The 24,856-nt window shown below is 51.1% G+C and overlaps 1 protein-coding gene and 2 long non-coding RNA genes across 4 annotated transcripts in view; 1 reads left to right on the forward strand and 2 right to left on the reverse strand.

Moving 5' to 3' along the window:
- Positions 1 to 931: 931 nt before the first annotated feature.
- Positions 932 to 24,376, reverse strand: IGFBP5 (insulin like growth factor binding protein 5). Its single transcript, NM_000599.4, has 4 exons — positions 23,266 to 24,376; positions 7,677 to 7,906; positions 6,939 to 7,058; positions 932 to 5,709 (listed from the first exon to the last, which is right to left on the reverse strand). Exons 1-4 carry the CDS (start codon positions 23,600 to 23,602, stop codon positions 5,578 to 5,580), a joined length of 819 nt encoding a protein of 272 aa, NP_000590.1. The 5' UTR covers positions 23,603 to 24,376; the 3' UTR covers positions 932 to 5,577.
- On the reverse strand, positions 10,066 to 20,391 carry LOC124900515 (uncharacterized). The gene is made up of 2 exons (XR_007088080.1): positions 20,283 to 20,391; positions 10,066 to 19,254 (listed from the first exon to the last, which is right to left on the reverse strand). It is a non-coding gene; the product is annotated as an uncharacterized LOC124900515 (long non-coding RNA).
- IGFBP-AS1 (IGFBP5 antisense RNA 1) overlaps positions 23,273 to 24,856 on the forward strand; it is a 116,628-nt gene continuing 115,044 nt past the window's right edge. For both annotated transcript variants that reach the window (NR_187138.1, NR_187139.1), the window contains exon 1: positions 23,273 to 23,588. This is a non-coding gene — a long non-coding RNA (IGFBP5 antisense RNA 1). The remainder of the gene's footprint in view (positions 23,589 to 24,856) is intronic.

The following is a 24,856-nucleotide window of genomic DNA, read 5'->3' on the forward strand; positions in this document are numbered from 1 at the left end:
AGGACAGGACGGGACACATGGCTTCCTGGTGGCCTCAGCCATTGAGCTGAGCAGAGTGAGGATGCCACCGCTTCTGTCTCCCTGCTCTGCTCCTGGGCCTGAGACTCTGGGGTGTGCGGTCAGTGGGGTGCCTAAGGGGCAGTGTGCTGTGCAGCTCTGTGAAACACAGGAGGGGCCGTAGGGGAAGAGCCTGGGGACGAAGGGGCCTAGGAGGGAGGAAAGCAACACAGTGAGGCGGCAGAAGGTCGGAGGGTGTAAGAACTGTGCTCTTCAGTGCCCAGGGGTTGACATCAGGGGTGCCATCTTGGGTTTTCCTCTTCACTGGGCACAGACAGCGGTGGAGGTTGGGTAGGAACCAGAGGGAGACTTTATCTTGGCCAGAGGTTCCCAGGAGTTATGAGCTTACAAGGCAGTGGGAGGAGGGAATAAGGAACATTCTAGAAATGGCTTCCTTAAAATCTTCTCCAAGGAGCAGAAACTTCTCATTTGTCTAAGGGTGGATGAAGGCCACTTTACTTCATAGCAAGGGCTGAGATGAAAAGATGGTAATAATCATTAATAGAACAGTAGGGGAACAGGTGCTGAATATTCCCAGTTCTCAGGGCTTTGGGGACATTAACTGGTTGAATCCTCACAGCAGCTCCATGAGGTTTTACCCACAAGGAAATGGAGGCCTGAGGAGGTTATGTAGGTTGCCTTGGGTTCCACGACTGTGGTGGCTTTCCAACAGATGGGGAAGGGGCCGCTGGAGCTCCAGTGGGAGTGCTTGTCTTGGGGGATGAGGGGTTCTCTCTGGACCATGTGGCCGCTCAGCCCTGATCCCACCGGGGGCCTTTCTCCATCCCCTCTCGGCTGTGGCCTGAGGAGAATCAGGGACTTGCCTCTCCCTCTGCCTGCCTTCCCTGAGCCCTCGGAGGAAGCCGACGCAGGCTAACTGAATGCATAACTTTATTAAATAAATGCTTTGTCATGACAAAAGACAAAGATCAAGGAGTAACATAAATTATAAGTTGAATAAATAGTATACAGCAATCTTCACTTTTTAAGAAAATGTGAGATCCTTTGTTGGTTTTTTATTTCCTTAAGTACAAAATGCTAAACGGGAGCCGAGCTCTTCCGCATTCAGGTGTTTTTTTTTTTTTTTTCGGCTTTTTTTTTTTTTTCTCACAAACTGGTTGCATTTGTTGATTTATTTTTCCATCCTTTTCACCAGTAAAGATTATCATCGTTTATTTTTGTTTTTAAAGTTGAAAACAAAAAAGAGGAGAGAACAGAGTTATGGTATGAATGTATGTAAAACTATAGAGAACTACAGTAATATGTACTGTGGTTATTGCTGTCTTCAAAAAAAAAAAGAAAAAGAAAAACAACAACAACAACAACGAAAACAACCGGTAGGCAACTCGGAATCTGAAGGAATCTTGTCTGACAACTGTGCTATCCATGTGGGCTACGGTGTGACAGTGGCGGTAGAGAGGAGACTCCGGCTGGCGACCGGGGACTGGTGGAGTGGGGTGAGCGGGCACAGGGAAGCTGGGGTCCCCTTCCCCTCGGACCCTCCCCACCTTCCCTTTCCCCATCCAAAAGGATTTCAGGAGAGGAGGCCAGAGTCTGTGAAATGACTAAACTATATACTCCATTAGAAAACCAAGAAAGTATGTTTGAAATAGAAACAAAAGCCTAAGAGAAAATAAAAAGTGGAGAAACAGTGCAATGTAATTCTTGCACTTTAGTGGTTTTAAAAACACAGACAGTACAAGGCCCAGGTTGCTGGCTGGTGAAACCCCTGTCCCTCGTCCCTCCTCCACTTTGCAAAACGGAGCCTCCTTTCTCTTGGAAGCCAGACATATCCTCTCTGACGCTATGGGGTTTCTTCTCCTTAGAGCTCTTCTCTGAGGTTCCCATTCTGGGCCGGAGCCCTCTCAGGAGTGAGTGGATGGGTCCGGGGTACTGTCCCACCTTGAGGGGGGCTTGGCGGTTGCCGTGGCAGCCCTGTCTCACTAACCGGTGCGTGGCGGGAGCAGGTGGTTGAGGCCCACCCTCTAGGGGAGGCCAGCCCTGTGGGGGTACCATGGAGGCCACAGAGGTGGTGGTGGGGAGATGGGGTGGGAGAGAAGGGGCATGATCAGAAAAGGGCCTCCCTGGACCTCGTGCGCCTGCCTTCCTCCCCTCATGGGGCCAGTGTCCCCAGGCCTGTCTGTCTAGGCCTGGCTGTCAAAGAAAGGTTCCAGTCTCTTCCTCCCCATGTGCCCTGCTTTGCCAGGTGGGTCAGGGCAGGCTGGAGGAAGGAGGGTCAGTCCTGGCTGGGCTTCCCTATCTCCTGGCAGTCGTGGGAAAGACAGAGGCATCTTCCTCACTGGTGGAGTGAGGCACGAATCTAAAGGGGATGGGAAGACCTTCTGTGGGTGTGAGCATGGGAGTGGGCAGCACTTAGATTCGGAGCCATGGATAGTCCGGAGTCCAAGGTCTCTGGGTGAGCAGACAGTCGGCCAAAGGCCAGCCTGGAGTCAAAGAGACCAGACCCCTGCTTAGATTGCCATACTCGCACCATTCCAAACCTGCCTCCCTCACACCCTGCCATGGGGGAAGAGGTGCCGTCTTCCTCCAGTGCCTCCCTTCCCAGGATCTCCCCACCCTGGGCTCAGCCAGAACTCCCATTTGGGAGGCTTAGTTCCATGTGTCCATGAAGGCCCAGCTTCTCTGGGGAGTGACCAGCTGCCCAGGAGAAACTCCTGCATGCAGAAGAGACTCACAGGTTTGGGTTCGCAGGCACGAACTTTGGAAACCGGAAGAGTCTGGCGCACTTACACCAGGCTCTAATCCCCCACCTGATGGCTGGCAGCAAAGAGCCAACGCAAGGGGCAGAAGCCTGCTCAAAGTCCAGACACAGTCCGTGAAGAGAGAGCCCCTCTCAAGAATTAGGTCCAGGCTGGGAGGAATGTGGGGGGAGCTTGTAGTTCCTGGCTCAGTCTTTTCTCAGGGGAGTGGCACCCCAGTATCCACTTGGCAGATCCTAGTTGGATAACTGCTCAAGATGCAAAGGGAGAATGGGTGGAAAGAACAGTGACGTGGAAGAGGTTTGGGATACTGGCCTAAGACATACAGAAACGTGAGTTGGGTTTAGGGGACAGCTGTGCAGAGAGATGGGGCATGCTGACTCGGCAGGTCAAGGCCTTGTGGCTGCTGGCCCTATCGGGCCCCTTTGTCTCATGAAGATTGAGCACTTCTCCTGTCCCCAGCCAACTGTCCTGTCCAGGGGCATAGGAGATAGCCCCCAAGTTCTATAGCTATAGGGTTCCCATCAGTTGAAACAGATTTGCTTTTTCGCTATTCCTCTTCGTAGCCCCAAATTCGTTGTTGGAGGCGGTCTCCGCTGTGTCATGCCATGAGCAAAGAGTGAAGAGAGCTGTGTCCACAGCACGAAGGGGTCTCCTTGGCCAGTGTCCAAGCCCCCTTTCCTGGATATCTTCAGCCTTAAAGAACAGTCACAAGGCCACCCATTGGTTGAGGAAGTCATTGGAGAATGGGAGTTTCGGAATCTGGCTGCCGAGTGACAGCATCCCTGAATCATGCGTTCCCTGCTTGTCCCAGCTTTCCTTCCATCCTCCACCCCAGGGAGGATGCAGGGACTGGCCAGAATGGAGGAAGAGCTGGAAAGACTCGTGGGCCTCAGTCCCTCATTGCAGGCTGAAGGTGGGCAGCGGAGCACATAGTCTTGTCCCTTCCAAAGCATGGCCAGTTTAGACTGATTCTTCCTATCTGGCTTCTAAAGTCTAGCACCCTCCTAAAGTTACTCACCTTCCCTGGCTCTGCGGCCTGGATTAAGCTCATTTCTATTTTGCAACCCATTCCCCCATTTTCCTCTCTTTCCTCTCAAATCCTAGAAAATACATATGGTGGGGAAGCTAAGGAAATTTCTATTGGCTTTTCCCCCTTTCTGCTGCTTTGTGCCAAAGCTAGAATGGAACAGTCAGCCCCCTCTCCCTTCAGCCCTCTGTTCCTCCCCACATCGACTCTGGCCGGAACCATCCATCTTACTGTTCTCCTGCATCTAAACCTTTTTGCCACCATCTCCCTCTGCCATCTCTTACTTCAGTCTCCCTCCTGCTCTGCCAGCATGGAGAGTGAGGGAGGCTTCCAAAAATGCACATTCTGTTCAGATGAAAGGAAAAGGCTGGGGTGGGACTGGTGGATCCATCGTGGACCTGTTGGGCTCATGTGGTGTGGTGTCCGGAGACTGTGACTTCCTGAGGGTTTAAAGACTAAAATGGGATGGACTGAGGCGCGTGCTGTGTGCACCACGGAGGGCTGGCCTCTGCCTGGCTCGGTGGGTGCAGATGAACACACGTGGGGAATCACTGTCAAATCCAGTACTGTGCCCCACAAAAAAGCTGAGTTTATTGCTCACGGGAAACTCTGCCTCGAGGCAGGCAAAAATGCTATTACGGGTTGTATTAGGAGAATATGGGTTTTCTCAGTTTTCCCAGAATGAGGAAGCTCCTCAATGCCCCTATAGGAACTACTTTGAAAAGTTAATGCAAACCTTTGAAAGAAAGGAAGAAAGAAAAAAACAAAGAAAAAGAATAGATTTATATGCCTATATATGACTATATGGAGTCCTGTAGATAAATACGAGCCCACTTTTTTTTTTCAGCCTATCCTCCCCCACAGAGGCTGCTGCGCTACTTACAAATTGAATTAAATGAGGGCTGAAACGGCACGCTTCAGCATGTACTGTAGTCACCGTGGAAGAACAAGTCTTTCCAATATTGGGGCATGTATTGATTTCTAAAAAATGTCTGCCTGGGGAATGAAATATGCACATGTATTTCATATTCACAGATCTGCTTCCGAAAACCTCTCTATTTAATATCACTCAATTATGAATTTGTTTTGCTTTCAGAGGAATGGAATGCATTTTAGTTTTTATAAATTTGGGGAGAGACAACACTCTGCCCAGGTAAGAGGAGAGGAAGTTCAGGGGTCCAGCTGTCCATACTGCTGGCTAGAGGAGGAGACAGATCCGGGAGAGGTCCTGGAGTGTTTTGCCTTTTCCTTTCTCCCCCTGACCAATCCATCCTGGGAAACCCCAATAGTGTCATTGATTGCCACATCCTGGGCTGCATCTTCTAGCGCCCACCTCTCCCGACCCCAGGCCAGGGCTGGACGTGAAAGTTGGGCCCCTGCCTGGTCTCGGTGCATGTCCTTCCTGCCCACCTGCTTGTCTTCCTTTTCCTAACTCTATTCGTCTTTCTCTCTCTTCTACACAAACACTTCCTTCCCTTCTCTTCCTCTCGTTCTTCCTCTCTTCCCTTCTCTGTTCATCCAACTTGCCTCAAAAAGAAAACCATTTAAAGGGGGGGGGTGTCTTTTTAGCTTTTTGCATCTCTGTTGTTGCCATTTTCGAAGTTGAGCCCTTGCTAGAGATTCCGAGGTCCTCAGTTTCCTCAAATAGATAGATATATATTTTTCCCTTAAATGAGATGAAATGAGTGGCGTCCTGGGGTGGAGGGAGGCGCTGGCTGGAGTCGGGGCTGGGGGTGGGAGGGGGTGAGGGAAAGGTTGGGGGGGGACGCATCACTCAACGTTGCTGCTGTCGAAGGTGTGGCACTGAAAGTCCCCGTCAACGTACTCCATGCCTGGCAGCTTCATCCCGTACTTGTCCACGCACCAGCAGATGCCACGTTTGCGGCCACGGGAAGGTTTGCACTGGGGTGAGTAGAGCAACAGGCGGTGAGGACGGCCGCACCCCAGGGCTCTGCTCCTCCCTGCCCTGCCTCTTGTCTACCCCAAGGCAAGACTCTCATCCCCAGAGAGTTGAGGGCACTAGACCCGACCCTTGGGTTTCTGGTGTCCCCATTTCACGGAAAGACCCAGGGAAAATGTGAATTTAGGCAGCCTACCCTTGGCAAGCTCCTTCAATCCCTTTCTTTCCTTTTTTTTTTTTCAGACATGGGGTCCCGTTATGTTGCCCAGGTTGGTCTAAAACTCCTGAGCCCAAGTGATCTTCCTGCCTCAGCCTCTGGAGTAGCTGGGATTACAGGCGTGAGCCACTGTGCCTGGCTTATAGTCCCGTTTTAAATATTACCCATTTGAGTTCCCCCAACGTGAAACTCTGCAGGGATTCTCAAGAGAGTTATGATCCAATAATAATGATGATGGTAATAATAATAACAGAAGGAGGCATGATTTGTGGTGTTATCATGTAGTAGACACCACTCAACGTTTGGTAGGCAGTAGGTACTGTTCTAAGTGCTTTACAAAGACCAATCACTCACTCCTCATTCACCATTTTACACAAGGGTCTGGAGGCACAGAGACATTAAATGGTGAGTAACAGGACACAGCTAGTAAGTGGCAGAGCCAAGATTTGCCCCAGTGTGGCCTGGCTCTTACATTTAGATTATTGGTGCCCTTAAAGCAGCATCAGGGTCACGTGTCCACCCCGGAGTCCACCCCAGGTCTACCAATCAGAAACTGCAGGGGTGGGGCCCAGCCATCAGCCATGCCCTCCAGGGATAGGATGCCCTTGGAAATCTAAGAACCATTGCCCAAAGGAGAGCCTGGCTGTGAAGGGACATGAACTGATTTCAGGTGGTTCACAGAGAAAATATGGTTTAAATTCCTGAGTGTGCGGTGCACCAATGATACGTGCTGTGCGATAGTGTTACAGAGTTACCTTTTGCAAGGAATTCATGTAGCTAAGGCGACCTGTGGAAAGCATAGTGGATTACCGCATAGGAGAGAATGAGGAAATGGATTACAGCATAGTAGGGAATGTGGAAAGTCATGATCGTGGTATATGAATGGGTATCTGAGGCCCAGGAAACACTAAGTGGTTAACGGTGGAAACCTTAGGCACTTGCCCAAGGTGGAGTTTCCTGGCAGGTGCCATTTTTGGAGCAGTCTGAGCCTGGAGCTCAGGGCAGGGGACGTACCTGCTTTCTCTTGTAGAATCCTTTGCGGTCACAATTGGGCAGGTACACAGCACGGGGCACCATGCGTGGGCTGGCTTTGAGCTCCTGCAGGGAAGCCTCCATGTGTCTGCGGCAGGGGCCCTGTGTGGACAGGAGGGTGAGAGGCGTGGCGAGACCAAGGGAAAACCACCCAGCTGCGCTGACGAATGGCCCAGGGGGTGGGGGCTGAAGGGTCTCTGGAGGAAAGTCACCACCTTTGGTTCTAATCATCTGCTACCAAAGATCTTTCCTCCCTGTCACCTGTCACGTGCGCTGGGATCATACAAAGCCTGCCTTTGGCCAGGTACGGAGTCATACTTTCTCTTTTGTGTTCCAGTCCACCCCCTCCCCTGCAGCTTTTCTCTTCTGCTGAGTAACAATGTCCAGAGGTGCCCATTTCTAGATGCTCTAGGAGAATATTCAGTCTCTGCCTTGGACTGGACACAGCTGCAGGGCCCAGGTACCTGGTACGTGGCCGCTGGGCTGGCACACACTCTCCTCAAATGAGCACCGCCTCTATTCCCACTTACTTGCACAAGCCCTTGGCCCTGACAAGTGTATGCTCTGGAAACTCTACTCCCACGTCCTAAGCTGAGCCACATGGTGGGCTGTAGGTCCTCTGCTGGGTCTAGTCTAGCACCTCCTGCCGCCATGAATGTCCATTTAGATGCAGGAAAAGGTCAAAAGCTGGGAGGGAATGAGGGAATCCCCGAGATGCACCTGCTCAGACTCCTGTCTCATCTCAGGTGCAGAGATGATCCGGGGGTGGGCAGTGTTCTCGGCTCCCCCGACAAACTTGGACTGGGTCAGCTTCTTTCTGCGGTCCTTCTTCACTGCTTCAGCCTTCAGCTCGGAGATGCGGGTGTGTTTGGGCCGGAAGATCTTGGGGGAGTAGGTCTCCTCGGCCATCTCAGAGGTGGTGGGCTCCTCGTGCTCACGGGAGTCTCTCTCTGCAGGAGAAGGAGCCGGAGGGTCAGCCCCCGTGGGCCAAGGTGCACACGGCCAGAGCCCAGGGCTGGGCAGTTTGGGGTGAGGGGAGTAATAAAGGCTGAAGCAGATGTGTCTCTGCCCTCCTGGAGCACACCCTGAAAGCAGGGGGATAAGAACCAGGAAGCAGAGGGAATGCTCATTTAAGTGGCAGGAAGTTTCTGGCATGCTTGGAGTCAAGCAGAGAGTGCAGGCAGGGAGGCTTCACAGAGGAGGAGAATCGAGAGACTGACAGACTGATGGGTGAGGACGGAGCAGGCCTTCTGGGGGCAGTAAGGAGGAAGGGCAAGGAAAATGGCCTCTGCAAGGATGAAGGTGGCAGCGAGCGGTTTGCTTGCTGGGGGATGGCCAAGTAGATGGGACATGGCTGGAGGTGGGGCTGAGAAGTAGGAACCCGGGAATCTGGGCCCATGGAGGCAGATGACACAGTCAGGGCGTGGACGAGAAGGGCAAAGGCTGTCCTGTTAGTGAGATCTTTGCACTTTCAGAGCTGCTGGATGTTGAGGTCTCTTTGGACCTGGGGAACCTAGGAGGAGGGGGTCCTGGGGTCTGGAGCAGCAGGGTGGTGAGGACCTTCATAAGCGGCAGGAGGAGGGGAGGGGAGAGCCAGAAATGTAGGCCCGGAGGGGACCGGCGTGGGGCCAAGTGGAAGTCGGAGGCCTTGCTCCTGCTCTGGCTCAGAACTGGCGCGGTGCTCGGGGGCCTGGGAGGCTGGGACGTTACTCAGCTCTGGACTGAGAGAGGCCGACAGCTGGCTGAGACCGGGACAGTTATATATAGGAGTGGCTTGCTGACAGTCTATACTTAGCTGGCTTTTGACCTTTAGAGAAGTCAGACTTTGTTGATGTATTTGTTGATCCTTAATTCCACCCGTCCGGCCTTTTCTTGGTGCGCAGTTTTCCCCTAAATTCTGATCTCATAGGCATCCATCCCTGGGTCCCCTTCTCCTCTCAGATCCTTGACCTCCCCCAGCCTCAGAGGAACCAGAATGGGGGAACTTTAGATTGTTGTTTCCAGGCGGGCAGCGTGTGGCCAGGATGCCTCACAGTGGGACCAGATGCAGGGGTGAGTGGAGGTGGGGGGCCCTGTCTTCATTGCCTCCCTCTTTTTTCAAATACTGGAAAGAGAAAATAGAGCTTTGAGTGACCTTAAATAACTGAAATGAGGTGAAAGAAAATTCTGTTCTCCATCTACTCCATGATCACTGGGATGTCCAGGAACAGTGACCGCCAGACATCTGGGATGGGGAACAGAAGAAGTGGGTAGAATTCCAGGAAGTGGGGGTGGGGTGCAAGGAAAGAGAAGCTTTTTTGAGAAGACGCTGTTTTATGCCTCTGGGCAGGTATAGAACCTGACTTCTGAGCTTGCAGCCCTGGGCAAGTTCCAGGTGTGAGTTAGGAAAGGCATTTGGACACCTGGCCTAACCTGGGCAGGATGGCAGGTGGCAGGAAGCACCCAAGCATCTGTTTCTCTCTTGGCTCAGGATTTGTCAAGTCTAATGAAATAGGTATCTGGTCTTTAAGGCCTTGGCAGAGAAGGTCCCTGCCCTAAAGAAGCCTCCAAAGGTTCGCAGCGTTCCTGGTGGTGAGTTGCTTTGGGTATTTATTCACAGGAAAGGAAGGGACGTAATTACTGGAGAGGAAGATGATGACTTGGGGAAAGCAAATAGCAAGGTGGTGGGTGGGCTCTCCCTAAATAAAATTCAACCTGAGAATCCTGGTACCCCTTCTGGACTCTCACCCCCTCTTCCCAGTCATGTCTTGATGTCCCAGTACCTCGATTCTGCTCTATCAGACCCTGCTGTGACGACTCATCAATAGGGTGACATCTCTGGTAGGTGGAATGCAGGATTCTAGGGATTAGTTAAAAGGGTCATGTTCTGGGGTAAATTGACTTTTCTTGGTTGTAGCGCAAGTGAGATTGGCAGGAGGAAGGGAGAAGCATGGCTGGTTTGGGGACTTTGTACAAATTGAAAGGCTGGGGCTCCGTTATCTAGTAACACAGGCCTCACGCCAAGGCTCAGATCTTGGAGAAGAGGGAGTAGGGAGAGGGAGTGCTAACCATTGCACAGAAGGGCTTTTGGGCACGTCTTATGGAGGGACTGGAGCCGTGCCACTCAACCTCAGCATCACCACGCATTTTAATCCTCAAAAAGTAGTTGACTACTGTAGGGGGAGGGGCAGACAGGATATGGTGGCTACTGAAAGCCTGGAGGGGGTTCAGATTGGAGAAGCCTGGACCCCTTCCTCAATCAAGATTGTAACTGGATAAAGTGAGGGCAGGTGGGGGAGTGGGCTGGCTGCTGACCAGCGCATGCGTCTATGCGTCTCCTTCAGTGGGCTGCCCCAGCCTGGCCTGGAGAGCCAACACATTGTCACCTCTTCAAGGGGAGACAGCCTGGGAAGCTGGCTTCTCTCCTGTGGCTGGTGTAGCAGTTCCTGGAATCCTTTCCGTAGGCCATTTAGTCCATCCCCCTGTGTCCAAGCAGAAATAAGCATCTATCTCTCTAGTTCTTAAGGACATCTGAAATGGGGGTGCCATTCCATCCTCCTCTGGCTACCTGTTGGGGGAGGCTCTGTCCATTTGGTCAGAGGGTGCCCTTTTCCAGCTGTCATTTTAGCTTATTCTCTCTTTGGCCTTGGGGGACACAGAAGCATGGTGGCCCACAGCCTTCCCTCAACAGCTCTTCTCAAGACCTTTCACCTTTTGGGACTTTTTCTAAGAAGTGCTGTGGGCTGTCCTTAACCTTGAGTCACCCTTTCTGGGAGGGGGATGGGGCTGTTGACAACGGTTTGATAAACCTTGGGGTAAATTTATTTTGACCTCTCTTACTCTTTTCTTTGAAAGTGTTCAAGTACTGCCCCGGGGCCAAGCAACCATGATACTGGCATACAAAATGTAGATTCTTGTATCTCTCTTCATTTAAGGAACTCAAAATGCTTTTGCAAACTCTCTCCTTTTCCCAGCCTCCCCAAGGCAAGTCTCCTGAGGGCACACCTTCCCCAGCTTTGCAAGCTTTTTGGCTGCTTCTGAAGAGCAGGCTTAACATTTTGATGTGCCTCCTGGTTTCTGGTGCCACTTAACCCCATGGGACCTATTCCTTAGGCAGCAGCAGAGTCCAGTGTCGAAGATACTAATCAGGGTCTTGTGGTCACCTGTAGGCTCCAGAGAGACAGCGGAAACTTGGAGGGGAGCCAGGGCAGAGCCATGGAGATTAAAGGGCTGGAAAGTAAGACTGGAGCTGAGTGCCAGAAGCAGCCAGCCCGACTCAGCTGCTCTGTGGCTGAGTCATAAATAGGCTTTCAATTGTGGAAGGCTTTGCGTTTTAGATAAAACAAGAAGGAACAAGTAGACTGGCTACTCTGGAGCTATTTCATCAAGAGAAAATGAACTGAGGTTGCAGAAGGGATCTAGGCAGGATACCCGGGAGGACTTCCTGGTGAAGATTGTTCTGCACGTGAACAGCAAAAGAACTCAACAGTCTGCTCTGGAACCTGTTTGACAAACAGGTCAATATCTCCATGTGGCCAGCAGAGGGCGTGGGAGACTGACACCCACACAGCATGGGCACACTTCTAGGGACTGGAAGCGTTTTTTGTTTTTTTTTTTTGAGACAGAGTCTCCTTCTGTCGCCCAGGCTGGAGTGCAGTGGCGCGATCTCGGCTCACTGTAAGCTCCGCCTCCTGGGTTTACGCCATTCTCCTGCCTCATCCTCCCGAGTAGCTGGGACTACAGGCGCCCGCCACCATGCCCGGCTAATTTTTTGTATTTTTAGTAGAGATGGGGTTTCACCGTGTTAGCCAGGATGGTCTCGATCTCCTGACCTCGTGATCCGCCCGCCTTGGCCTCCCAAAGAGCTGGGATTACAGGCGTGAGCCACCAAGCCCGGCCTGGAAGTGTTTTTAAAATCTGGAATTTGGAATTGAGAGCGGTGGCTCATATCTCTAATCCCAGCACTTTGGGAGGCCAAGGTGAGTGGATTGCCTGAGCCCAGGAGTTCGAGACCAGCCTGGACAACATAGTGAAACCCCGTCTCTACAAAAAAAACACAAAAATTAGCTGGGCATAGAGGCGTGCGCCTCTAGTCTGAGAAACTCAGGAGGCTGAGACCGGAGGATTGCTTGAGCCCGGAAGGTGGGAGGTTGGAGGTAGGAGGTTGGAGATTGGAGGTTGAGGCTGAGGCTGAGGTGAGCCATGATTGCTCCACTTTGATAGCTCCACTGCACTCTAGCCTGGGGGACAGAGTGAGACCCTGTCTCAAAGAAAAAATAAATCTGGAATTTGGGTGCCTCCCTCTCCTACTTCTGCAATAATCATTCAAATAAATCCCTTCCTTCTGTTTGTGTGTCTGCAGGATATATTTAAAGAGTCAGGGAGACAAACAAGCGAGGCCCGGAGAGAACCCATGTGTGGGAGAGTGAAGGCAGGTGAGGGAGAGGGGAACAGGGCTTGTTTGTGCATGGCATTCTGCTGTTTCTGTAACCTCCAACTGGAAAATGATCCAGGAAGGAAGAGAGACATATTCCAGACTTCCCCGCCCATGAGATGCTGTTCTGAGAGGTTTTTGCAGAGGATGGGAAATGTGGAATGCTCAGCATCCATTTCTCCTGCTGGGATCTATGGAGGCCAGACCTTACCTTCATAACCCTATTCAATGACTAAGGGAGGGGATGATGATAATATTATCTGGATACAGTATTTACCTTTGGGGTGGGATCTAAATCTCTGGCTTCTATATAATACCTCCAGTCCTTCCCACTGGCTCTCCAATGCCTCTGGCCCCTGCCACATTTGGGTGGCCAACTCAGTCCTCTTTCATTCATAAGGAGTTCCCCATACACCCCAGTGCAGCAGCATCCACAGAGGCACACACAGTACATCAGCCTCTCCCCATGGTAACATGAACACGTGTTTGAGGATTGCACCATCCTCTATGTCCTGGCAAACACAGAGAGTGTCATGATGCAAGCCCAGCTGCTACAGACCCAGAGGCATCTTAGGGTGAGAAATACTCCATGCTGCACAATTGCACAACGCATGTACCCTGCCCAAGCTCAACCACTTTCTCCAAACCTGCCCTTTTGCCACGGCTGTTCTCTTCCAGTAGAGTCTGAAGGGTTCTGACTCCACCTTGCTTGCTGGTCACAGCAATGGATGGATCCAGGAGACCTGCCTGCCTAAAATCTAAACCCCCCGCCCCCGGACCTCTTAGCCACACCCCGGTGCTATTAACAGCCTGTTCCTGGGCTGGTGTTAGTTTATCACTCTATCTCACTTGACCTAATAATCAATTGTAAGAGAAAACTAGGTGACCCAGATATTGTGCCTTAGCTTACAAAAATCGAAGAAACAGAGGCATCCTTGAAATTCACAGTCCAGGAAGAGTGTCGGGCTTTGCCAGGCCACCCAGACCTGGGGAGATTCTCCCATCTCCTTTTCTAGACAGAAGATAAGATGAGGACGCCTAGAATCTCTCTACAAAGAATGAAAAAGGGAGCTGAATTTGTTCTGGGTTTCATTCTAGTCCCCCCTGTGGAATTTAAACAGCCAACTTCTTACGGGCAGAGCTTTGTCATTTCTCTTTGTCTCACCAGCATATAGTATTCAATAAATAACCTTTAAATGGAGAGATGTGTAAATCTGCCCAAGAGGCAAAGAGAAGTAGGTCTGGAAGTATTTCTGTAATATAAGCTGGGGCTTAGAGCCCAGTGCATGCCTTGGGAGGTTATCTCATCCATGCTCCTGCCCTGGAGCAAGATAACCCTGCCGCAGGGCACAGGGAAGCAGACAGATGAGCGTCATGGGTGTGAGAAACAGCAGGGGTGCTCCTGGATTCACTGGGCTTCTCTTTGGCCTAAGGCTACTATATATTAATGTACTACTTAGGCCAGGCATGGTGGCTCACGCCTGTAATCCCAGCACTTTGGGAGGCCAAGGAGGTTGGATCACAAGGTCAGGAGTTCGAGACCAGCCTGGCCAACATGGTAAAACCCTGTCTCTACTAAAAATAAAAAATCAGCCAGGCATGGTGGTGTGTGCCTGTAATCCCAGCTGCTCGGGAAGCTGAGGCAGGAGAATCACTTGAACCTGGGAGGCGGAGGTTGCAGTGAGCCAAGATCGTGCCACTACATTCCCCCCTGGGCAATAGTGTGACAAAAAAAAAAAAAAAAGTATATATTTAATATGGTAGCCACTAGCCAATGTGGCTATTTAAATAAATATTAAATAAAATGAAAAATTCAGCTCCTCAGTCACTCTAGCCATATTTCAAGGACTTCGTGGCCACATATGGACATTGCAGACCTGCAACGCTTCCATCATTGCAGAAAGTCCTGGTCAGTGCTGGCCTGACGGCACTGACTTGTGCCTGGGTATGGATGAAAATACTGAGGCCCAGTCTAGAATGTTCTGCAGTCCCCCTCCTCCCTTGCCAACCCTAGGTCCCTAGCCAACTTGCAGCCACCAGCCCCTCCCTACAACACAAGGCTGGTGGAAGCATGAGGGATTGGCTGTTCACTGTTTGAAAAAATGTAAGACATGTCTCAGTCTCTTGAAGTCTGTTTCCCAGCTGTGGATGTCAAATGGCTTTTCTGCGCTTGTGTGTGTGCATTTGCAGAAGGAGAAAGGCCACAGTGGTTGTGGCAGGGGGAAGGTGCTGTGGACACTTCCAGGGAAGTGGCAACATCATTTCTTTTCCTACCCATCCCATCTCTGACCAGCAGCTGCCTGGCGCCAGTCTCTCTCAGAAGACATTTTTTTTTGTTTTTGTTTTTTGTTTGTTTGTTTTTGTTTTTACTTGATCGTCAGAAATAGGCATGCATGTTCCGGGTTCTTTTTAACCTGAATTATGGGCTGAGGAGGAAATGAGCACTAACCTTTTAAGAAAAAAAAAAAACCCAAAGCTGTCATCCTAAAAAGCAGCTGTAAGAATGGAGGAAAGCCAGGAGGAAGACCCCGGAGGGGAGTTGAGCAGACTTAGAGAACTACTGACTGGATGATGAGGGCTATAGGTGTACCCAGCTGAGCCCCCCTACCCCATTTTAGGCCGGGAGAAATAGCATGGTTAGGTACTCTAAACCAACAGCAAAGCTGGCCAAGCTGGGAATATATCTCTATCCTTACCAGAGAAATACAGACACCATGTAGTATAGTGGATAACCATTCAGAATCAGGAACCAGACCACCTGGGTTCAAATCCCAGCTCCACTACTGAATAGGTACAGCAAACTGTGCCACCCTAAACCTTCAGCTGTCCTTTCTGGGAGGAAGATGAAGCTGTTGACAATAGCTCAGTAAACCTTGATGCAGCTTTGGCAACACAGCAAGACCCCATCTCTACATAAAATGAAATATTAGCCGGGCGTGGCAGTGTGCACCTATAGTCCTAGCAATGGGGAGTCTGAGAAGGGAGGATGGCTTGAACCCAGGAGTTGGAGGCTGCAGTGAGCCATGATTGTGCCACTGCACTCCAGCCTGGGTGACAGAGTGAGACCTTGTTTCTAAAAATAAATAAATAAACAAACCTTGGTACAGATTTACTTTGACCTTTCTTTTTTTTTTTTTTTTTTTGAGACGGAGTCTCACTCTGTCGCCAGGCTGGAGTGCAGTGGCATGATCTTGGCTCACTGCAACCCTCTCCTCCCAGGTTCAAATGATTCTCCTGCCTCAGCCTCTTGAGTAGCTGGGACTAAAGGCATGCAGCACCACGCCCAGGATGGTCTTGATCTCTTGAGCTCGTGATCCACCCACCTCAGCCTCCCAAAGACCTTACTTTCTTCTTCCTCTTTCCAATTCAGTTTTCTCACCTGTGTTATGGGGAGGATGGCAATGGCCCCTTCTCCATTATATTCTGAGGATTAATCAGGGTGATGCATGCTAATTCACTCTCAGAACAGGTCTCTGCCTTTGTAGTGCTGTTTCCTACCACCTCCCTAGTTCGAATCATCAACTAAAAATTTGGTTGCTGTGACACCTGGTTGACAGACGCCTACTTGTAGACCACAAGATCTGAGGCTCCTTGGACTGCAGGAAGGTCTGCCAGAAAGTGTTGGCTCGACCTTTGTCTCTGGGGGTCTGTTGGCCAACACCAGGTGAGGACTTGGCACAGGTGCTCTCCGGACCCGTCTCCACTTAGAGAGCTCCCCCTGGGAGTCCTTCCTCTGCCTAACCCCATTCCTTCATGCTGCGTTAAGGGCACTTAGCCTCCTTCCCTGAAGATATATAGAGAAAAGGGGGCCCACCGCCCTCCACAGTGTAGATGCCACAGGTGGGAAGGTGACACCTCACAGAGTAAGGGGCTGAGGTCCCCCTTACATCTGCCCCACTGTCCAGGGACCAGAGGTAAAGAGAGGCTCCTTGTTGTTTTCTGATGCCAAACTAGGATTTGGGGTTGTGACTCTGGTTCACATTTCTTGGTCCCTGGGAAGCAGCTGGCGATAACTGTACACATAGGAAATACACACTGATGCACAAGTCCCTGGCTGAGAATCTCCAGCCAAGCTTCTTTTGGAGTTGGGGAAGGGGGAGCATGCTTAGTAGAAGTGTCTGTCTGTTCCTCATACATTCCCCAAATGAGAAGGTAATGGTGGGGGGATAGGTGGGGAGCAGCCTCTGGAGGAAGCACTGGGCAGCTTTTCTCCTGGCCACTTTCCCATCATGACCCATCACAGCCAGTTCAGAACATTGCCAGCCACAGCCACATCCCCCCAAAGTTCTGCATGACCAGAAGGGGGCGGCAGGGAGGAAGTAGGGTTTACGCTTCTCTCCTGAGGCCCCGAAGAAGGTGCCCAGGCTCTGCTAGGGACCAAACAAGGGAGCCCTGTCTGTCAACGAAAGCTGAGACTCCCCTTTTTTGAGTCTTTGGGAGCAAAAGGAAAGAGTGGGGACAGCAGTTGCCTTCTCAGGTGAGAGAGGGGTTTGCTGGTAGCCATTAACCATGTGCAGATACATACGGAACATCTGAAATGTGGCCCGGGGAACTGAGGAACCACATTTTAAAATTTATTTAATATTTATTTAATTTTAATTAGTTTAAATTTAAAAACAGATACTCAACTCAGTTATTGGAAAGATTTTAAAGTATGTTTGGAATGCCTCAGGTATGTGACTCTGCTTTTTCAACTGTAAATTTTATGAAATCTAAATACAGATCAAGTATTTCCAATGAAAATTTAGTGTCTGAATTGAGATGAGCTGTAAGTGTAAAAAACACCGGATTTCAAAGGCTAAATATGAAGGAAAGAATGTAAAATATCTCATTATAATTGTTTTATTTTGAGCGTGTGGTGAAAGGATATTTTGGATATATTCAGTTAAAATGTATTATTACAATTAATTTCCCTGTTTTTTTTACCTTTTTAAAAAAGATGTGGCTACCAGAAAATTAAAAATGACAAATATGGCTTGTATTATGTTTCAATTGGAAGTGCTGTTCTAAATGATCTGGAAGAAGAGTCATCCTGGCTGAGGTGACAGAGGGGTGTCGCAGTCCCAGTTCGGGATAACTGGAACCCACATTAAACAACTCAGAGAATCAGCAGAGGTCATCTGAGGCCTGGCTCTGAGTGCAGATTCAGTGGGACCTTATTTTAGGCCAGGGAAAGGGGCCTGATGGTTTAGGTTGAGGGATCAAACATGAGATAACTGAGTTCGTTTAAAATGTTCCTATAGTTCACCTGGCAGGTCTGACTTACCGGAAAAAGGGGCCTATCTTATCTGCCTCCTTCCTAAGCATCCCAGAAGGAGGAGCTGCCACGGCCTCCAGGATGTATTAGAATGGGTCTCAGCACTTCCTGCAGCACAACCAGAAGTCCCCAGCTGCCCTCTGGAAGCACATCTCTCCTCTCCTGCTGAAAGATCTGAGACACATCTGCCTATGAAAGAAAGCCAGGGGGCCCTCATGCTCTCTTCCTTATCAGCTTTGGTGGTATATGGTTTTCCTTCTCTCCTTCGGATGCAGAACTTCCTAGTTACTGCACTCACCCCATCCAACCACACCCTCTCTCGATCTCTGCTTTCTGTTGGCACCACGTGAGGACTGTGCTGTTGGAAGCGGGCCACTTCTGCACCATGTTCTTCAAGACTACAGGCCGCTGCACAGCTCAGAGGCAGCCAGGCCTGCCTGCCTCTCCACATCAGGAGAGCTTCCTGTCATGTAGAAAATGAGGTTTGGCGCATGGACCTGAAAGCTGGGGTGAACACCCCTCCTTCACACCCTCTTGGTCCTCTTTCTCTGACCAAACCACTAGCCTAAGCCAGGCTTGTATGCAAGACTGTGTAGAAAAAGGGACAGAAGTGAGTGTGAAAATAAGAGAGTGTGGCCCTCTCCACTTTGGGGCCGCTTCACTCCTTTTCCTACTGCCCCTAAAACAGAGTGCCTTCAGATTATGGGTTCTTATGTCATGGAGTGATAGCATCTGGCAGTGTTTGCCAAAGGCCTTACTGCAGGTTAGCCCAGGTCCAGGCATGAGCCCCAGTGACTAGCGAGAAAGCCAGGAATGGCTGAATGCAGTGCTGGAGCCCCTGCGGGAAAGAGCTGAGTCCCAGCCCCTTGTCTGTCTCTAACCCTGCTGCCACATCTTGGGCAAGTGACTTCCCACTCAGGGCCTCAGTATCCTCATTCTAAAACTAGGACCTTGACTGTGATGATGGCTATGGGTTCCTTCCAGCTTTAACATTATTTGGCCAATACCCAGACAATTCCTGGAGAGACACTAGGACTGAGCTAAGCTGAGTGGCCAGGCACTAACTAACTAACCTGGTTAGGTGCTCTAAACCAACAGCATAGTGGCCAAGGTGGGAATATAACCTCTCCTCCTCACAGAGATTTTCAGTCACTCCTCTGGATTTATATTTTTTAAAAAGAGAGAGAGAGAGAGAAATGACATCATAACAGAATTTATGGAAAGAAATGAAACTGGAAATAAAAGGGGGGGATTTCACTGGTATTGGGGGAGGGGAGTAGAAGCCTACACTGCCATCCTTGTTTATTTTATTATTTATTTTTGCAAGTATGTAATCAATGTGTAATCAGTCTTACTGTTTTGAATAACATGTCCTGATTGCAATTTAAGGATAGTCTCTGGGAATTGCAGCTTTTGGACCAACTGTAGAGAAAAAGCAAATGTAAAACTAAACAAACCCCTCCAAATCGCCTGCTTGACTCAACGCAGCCATTCTCCCACCCTCTTCCCTTCTGCTCTGGCCCCTGGTTGGTACCTGCTCTTTATGATCTTCTTCCAGTTTCTGGATGTAGTGGGTCTGGAGTGTGGTGATCTCTTCTCCAGAGTTTTATTTTCCACACACTAAATATCTTAAAAGTTTCATAGGCATTGCTCAGGTACAAAGTAGAAACTTTAGACAAGTATTACCTTCCCTTCCCGCTGGCTTCTTCGCTCCATTAAGGGGGCCAGGGCTTCTGCAGGGAATTCCTGCTCCCATGCCCTTTGCTGTAACCCTCACGATGACCTCTGGCTCCTAGGGTCAGGCTGGTCCACCCTCTGCAGCTGCAGGCCCACCTGCCTGCTCAAATCCAGCCCAAGCCCCGGGACTAACTCACAGCTGCTCTGACTTAAAACTCAAGCCCTCAGGGGATGCCTTAGAGTTGGGGTGGGGGGTCGGGGGGTGGATGGAGAAGGTCGGAGGGAAGAGTAGGAGGGAGGGGTGAGAAAGGGGAAAAAGAGAAATGGAAAGAATATGAGCTCTCACTAGGGCTAACTCTGCTTGTTCTTCCAGTCTGAGCTGACACAGCAGAAAGGTGGGGGAGGGGGGGCGGGGTGGGCGGGGGCGGGGGCGGTGGGCGGAGGTGGCGAGAAAAGTCCAGTTAAAGCCCCATCTCGTTTTCCCAACTCCCGTTTTGGTTGGCTCAGGGCACGCCATCCTCTCAAAGACTTGTTTCAGAGGGAGGGGGTGCGGGTGGGAAAGGAATTTGGCTCCTTCAGTTTTCCATGATCTTGCTCAACCCAGACATAAATTTGGCCAATAAACCTAACTCTGGAACTCGACTTCAACATGGCATTTTAGACCAGGCTTGGAGTTGAAGCCAGGGTGATGGAGGCCAAACCCCTCAAAGAAGCAAAGGCTGAATTCACTTTTATTTAGGTAATGCTTTTGCTTTCTTTTCCAGAAGCCTATTTTTTGTCCCACGGTGTCTCATTTCTTAATGACAGAACCGAAAGCCAGAACCCACGGCTCCCTACATCTTAAACTGAATGTCTCACCAGCACAGAGGAGACCTACCCGAACCCCGGTATCTATGCTGGGGACCAGCCCATCAAACCTCATTCCCCACCAAAAATGCCCGAAAGCAAACCCAGTACTTCCTTGACTCCCTCCACTCACCGCTATTTACTGAGCTTTGCCCATCAAATAACTCCCGTCTTTCATCTCCCTCCAGCCTCACACACATTCTTTTTTCCGTATCTATCTCTGCTCCTGAACTGGCCAGAATGAAATGCAGAGCCAGGCTCGCTCTCAGCACCCTGCTCTCGGGCCCACTCCCTCTCCAGTTGCTCAGCAACAGCCTAGCAAAACACCCTCTCCTCCGCCCTCTCCTTTCCCTCCCAGAGGCTTTGGCTGCCTGCCACCTCACTCTCTTCTGCTCCCCATTTCTGATTCCAGAAATGCACCTTTTTTGGGTTCTACATGTTTGGTTACATATAAATATATATAATATAGTATATACCATATATACAATATATAATTATATAGATATAATATGTCGTGTGTGTGTGTGTGTGTGTGTGTGTGTGTGTGTGTGTGTGTATGCTGCAACTGCGGGAGGGAGGGGGCAAATCCATATCTGCAAGCTCAGATTTTGGCGGGGGTGGGGGAGAGGAGGGAGGTAGGAGGTGTGTTGGGAAGCAGGAATTTTGGCTAAAGGACCAAAAGGGCACTCTCCCTCTCTCTGTCCATTTCTCTCTCCTTAAGAACGGTCTCTACACCATCTCCAACTTTTTGGGGACCCGCCCAGTGGTTGTCCGGCTAAAACGCCCTTTCCAGGAGCGCCCACTCCCATCCCATCTGTTCGGGAAGAAGATGTCGGCACCAGCAGCGGTGGAGCGCCGCCAACCCGCAACAGCAGCCGGCCGGGCACCTGCCTTCGGCGGGGTGGAGTCGGAGAGGAGTGCTGGGGAGGGGGCGGGTAGAAGAGGCGGCTTCGGGTTGGCCCAAAGGCACTCAGAAGGTGGGGGTTGAGCAAGGGGCGGCAGGGAATTCTACAGGGGATCTTGCTTGGGACTGAAGTGTCGTGTGTGTGTGTGTGTGTGTGTGTGTGTGTGTGTGTGTGTGATGCGCCCTCCGTGCTCGCCTAGCAATTGCGCGCGCGTGCGCTCTGCGTGTACACCCTTCACACTAGCCACATCACACTACACGCTTGGTAAATAATAAGTGGAGCCAGGATGCGGCTGAGTGACACCTTACGTTCTTTCGGTGTGACTGGATTGTTACCCAGGGCGGTGGCTCCCAAGCCGGGAAATCAATTAATGTTTTCCTTCTCCGCTAGGCTTTTCCAAATCCACATCCCCCAAGATGAAGGCGGGCAGGACCGCCTTTGAAAAGTGGATCTTAATAAAAATAATCTCACAAGCCGGTCTCTGGGGTTCCCAGAGCCTGCACATCCTCCCCTTTTCCTCTTTTTGCAGGCTGCAACCTGCAAAAAGATCGACTTTTTGCAGGTTTGGAGATCGACTACCTCTTGCAAAGCTAGAGGGGCTGGCCCCTGCGCCACTCAAACCCTGCAGGGTTTGCGGGGACTGAGGCTGAACACAGGAAGCTCTCCGGCCTCCTGGCAAGCGCGGACGCACTCCTCTCCTGCACTATAGTGACTGAAATTTGCACTTCAGAAAACTCATGTTAGGGTGCTCGTGAGTAACGGAAAGGGACAGGGAGGGAGAAGGGGATTGCCCCCGTAACTAAACTGTCTCCGTAACTAAACTACGCCAAATAAACATTGTTTAGCCAAGTTTTAACCCCTTTTGGAGAGAATCAATAGCCAGTTTGACGTCTTAGAACCCAGACTTTTATGTAGTTTATTTAACTTTTTTTTTTTTTAACTAAAGATCAGGTAACTCTTTCCAAAAAGAAACTCAGTCTAAGGGGGTAGAACTGTTCTGATTGAACAAGTAGCTGTGTCAATCATTTCAACCCTAGACTCCTGGCGCCGAGAATTTGGGGGCGGCGCAACCCGGGGGCGGGGCAAGCGGAGGCGAGGCTCCCAGTGCGTGGCTTTTCTGTCTCCGCCCCCTGAATTTTGCATTCTGCGTTTCCAGGGCCCCTCATGCACTTAATCCACACCCACTTGTGATCTGGTTTAAGAGATTGGGGAGGGCGGGGTGGGGGGATTGCGGAGGGAGGAATTGCGGGGCGGGGGTGGAGGTGGTGGTGGTGCCAGGAATCTGCATAGGCGAGGAAGTTGAAAGCTCTGAATCTCACATCCCCTTTTGCCTCCCAGCCCTATGTCCACCTTTCATCCTAGGTAAAATCTGAATTGGAGAGGGGGAAAAGGAATTAGATTCAGAAACGAACACCAGGCACAGAATACCAAACCCTTCCTTTCTACTCTTCCCCACCCCCACCCCGCACCCCCGCACTCCTAAAGTATTTTTTTCCCTTCCTGGGATAAAATAAAAGTCATTTTGCAGTTAAATATGTTTTACCATCTACCACAGGCAATCATCTTCAATAAAAAGCAATGGTTATGCACATGGGAGGGGCTTCAGGGCTCCCACCCGAAAGGCATTAGCTACCAAGGATGTGGGGTGTTTGTGGTGTGTGTGTAGGGGTGGAGGGATAGAAACGTCTGGAGGCACGGGGGTGGAGGGGCCAAGAGGGACAAAGGTGGAATTAGCTCAGAAGATAGGTAATGCCTCTCTCTCCAGGCCGCAATTAAAATAATATTTTAACAAAAGAGATTTTTTTTCCAAGTTCAGAAAAAAACCTATGCGGGGCGCGAGGGGGGTGGAGGAGGGAGTTGATAATGTAACATACACTCTTTCAGACTGTAGATAGGGTACCAGGGGATTTGGACCTTGTGACCGAATAAGAGCTCAGAATCAGTATTCGGACAGAGTAGGGGGAGGGGGCGGGCAACGTGTGGGTAGGAGGAAGGAGAAAGAGCGAAAGCTGGGATAGACTCGGCTAGACAGTTCCCCCGGGTAGCAGGATCCTCCAGGGCTCCAATTCCGGGGTGCAAGGACCCTCCCCGACTACTCCCGAGCTGCACCCCAGCTCGAAGCCACTTGCTGCGCAAAGCGCGCGGGCCCAGCCGGTCTCGTGTCCCCCGCCCGTGCGCCGCGTAACTGACTGGCACACTGAGCGCGCTCACCGATCTTGACTTGCTCGCGGTAGCTCTTTTCGTTGAGGCAAACCCCGCGGCCGTGCAGCAGGGCGTGCAGCGGCTTCTCCTCGTCCTGCCGGGGGAGGCAGCGCAGCCCCTGGGCGCAGCGCTCGGTGTAGACGCCGCACGACTGCCCCTCGGCCAGGGCGCAGGTCATGCAGCAGCCGCAGCCCGGCTCCTTGACCAGCTCGCAGCCCAGGGGGCTGGGGGGGCACATGGAGAGGGCTTTCTCGTCGCAGGGCTCGCAGTGCACGAAGGAGCCCAGGCTCTGGGCCGGCCCCGCATAGGCGGCCAGCAGCAGGAGGACCGCGGTGAGCAACACCATCTTCTCTTAGTCGCCCCCTTTACCTCGGGGTGGGGCAGGAGAGCGAGAGTGCAGGGATAAAGGGGCCAAGAGGGCCCCCGGAGATTTTTTTGTTTTTGTTTTTGTTTTAAAATTTCTGGCAGGTAGAGCAGGTGCCCTCCCCCAGACACTTGCAAAAATGTAGAGAGAGGTGGAGGGCTGGGGTGCCTGCGAGCAGGTCCCAGTTGCAAGAATTAAAGCCTTGCAACAGGTTGGGGGAAGCAGGGCAGCGCCAGGTGCACGCAGTGAGCGGAGGCCGGAGAAACCCTCAAGCCTGAGCGGGTCAGAATTATAGGGGAAAAAAAGCCACAAAATTGTTCACCCCCAAGCAACCACCGAAATAATGAGATCGGATGCAGTGGAGATGGCGTTGGGGGTGGGAGAGAAAAATGGATTTATCTTTAAAATTTTTGCTTAAAATCTAAAATACACCCCGCTTTCTAACCCTCAGCTGCCAGCGGTGCGCGGCGCCGCAGAACAGGTAAGAGGCGTTGGCTGCAGCCGAGAGGGTGGGAGAAAATGTTGAAATCAAGAAATTAAAAAACAAAAACAAAAACAAAAAAACCCCAAACCCTAACACCTCTTTTCTCCCACTTTGCCACCTCCTCTTCGAAATTCGCAGGTTCTACGCGAAGTCCGGAGAAGGGTGAAAACGGAGGAGGGGTAATGAAAAGGAGCAAAAAAGGGAAAAAGCCCACACTGCTTTGCAGCTCTTTCCTAGCTCTTTTCCCCTGCAGAAGTTTCCAAAGAGACTACGGGGCTCCGGGAGAGCAGGCGCTTTTAAATAGCCGGCCCCTGGCTGCCAGCCAGTTTGTAGCTGCAATTTGAGCTTCCCAACACCCAACTCAGGCAAGGATGCCAAGGAGCTTTGCAGTACAAACTCACACGGGGTGGGGGTGGGGAGAGGCCTTCTAGACACAAGGGGGCTCCCCTTCGCTCCCTGAACAGCGCCCTCCTCCCCTCTGAACAGCGCCCTCCTCCCCCCGGAATGTAAGAAAGGGGCAAGGGGGACAGGCTGGGGCTACCGAGAATGGGGAGGAGGTGGAGGGGCCAGTGGAAGACAGAGTTCTTCGGAGCAGGGTGAACACAATGAGGAGAGTAACTTCGTCTCCCCTTCCCTCCTATCCTTTAAGTAGTCAAGGCACAGGCTGAAGGGAGACGTATTTTCTTATTAGCCAACTGGATATACCGTGCCCAAGAAATCTTCCTAAGCTTCTGCAATTGACTGTATGCTGG

Source organism: Homo sapiens, chromosome 2 (assembly GCF_000001405.40).
Source record: "Homo sapiens chromosome 2, GRCh38.p14 Primary Assembly".
Classification (NCBI taxonomy): domain Eukaryota; kingdom Metazoa; phylum Chordata; class Mammalia; order Primates; family Hominidae; genus Homo; species Homo sapiens.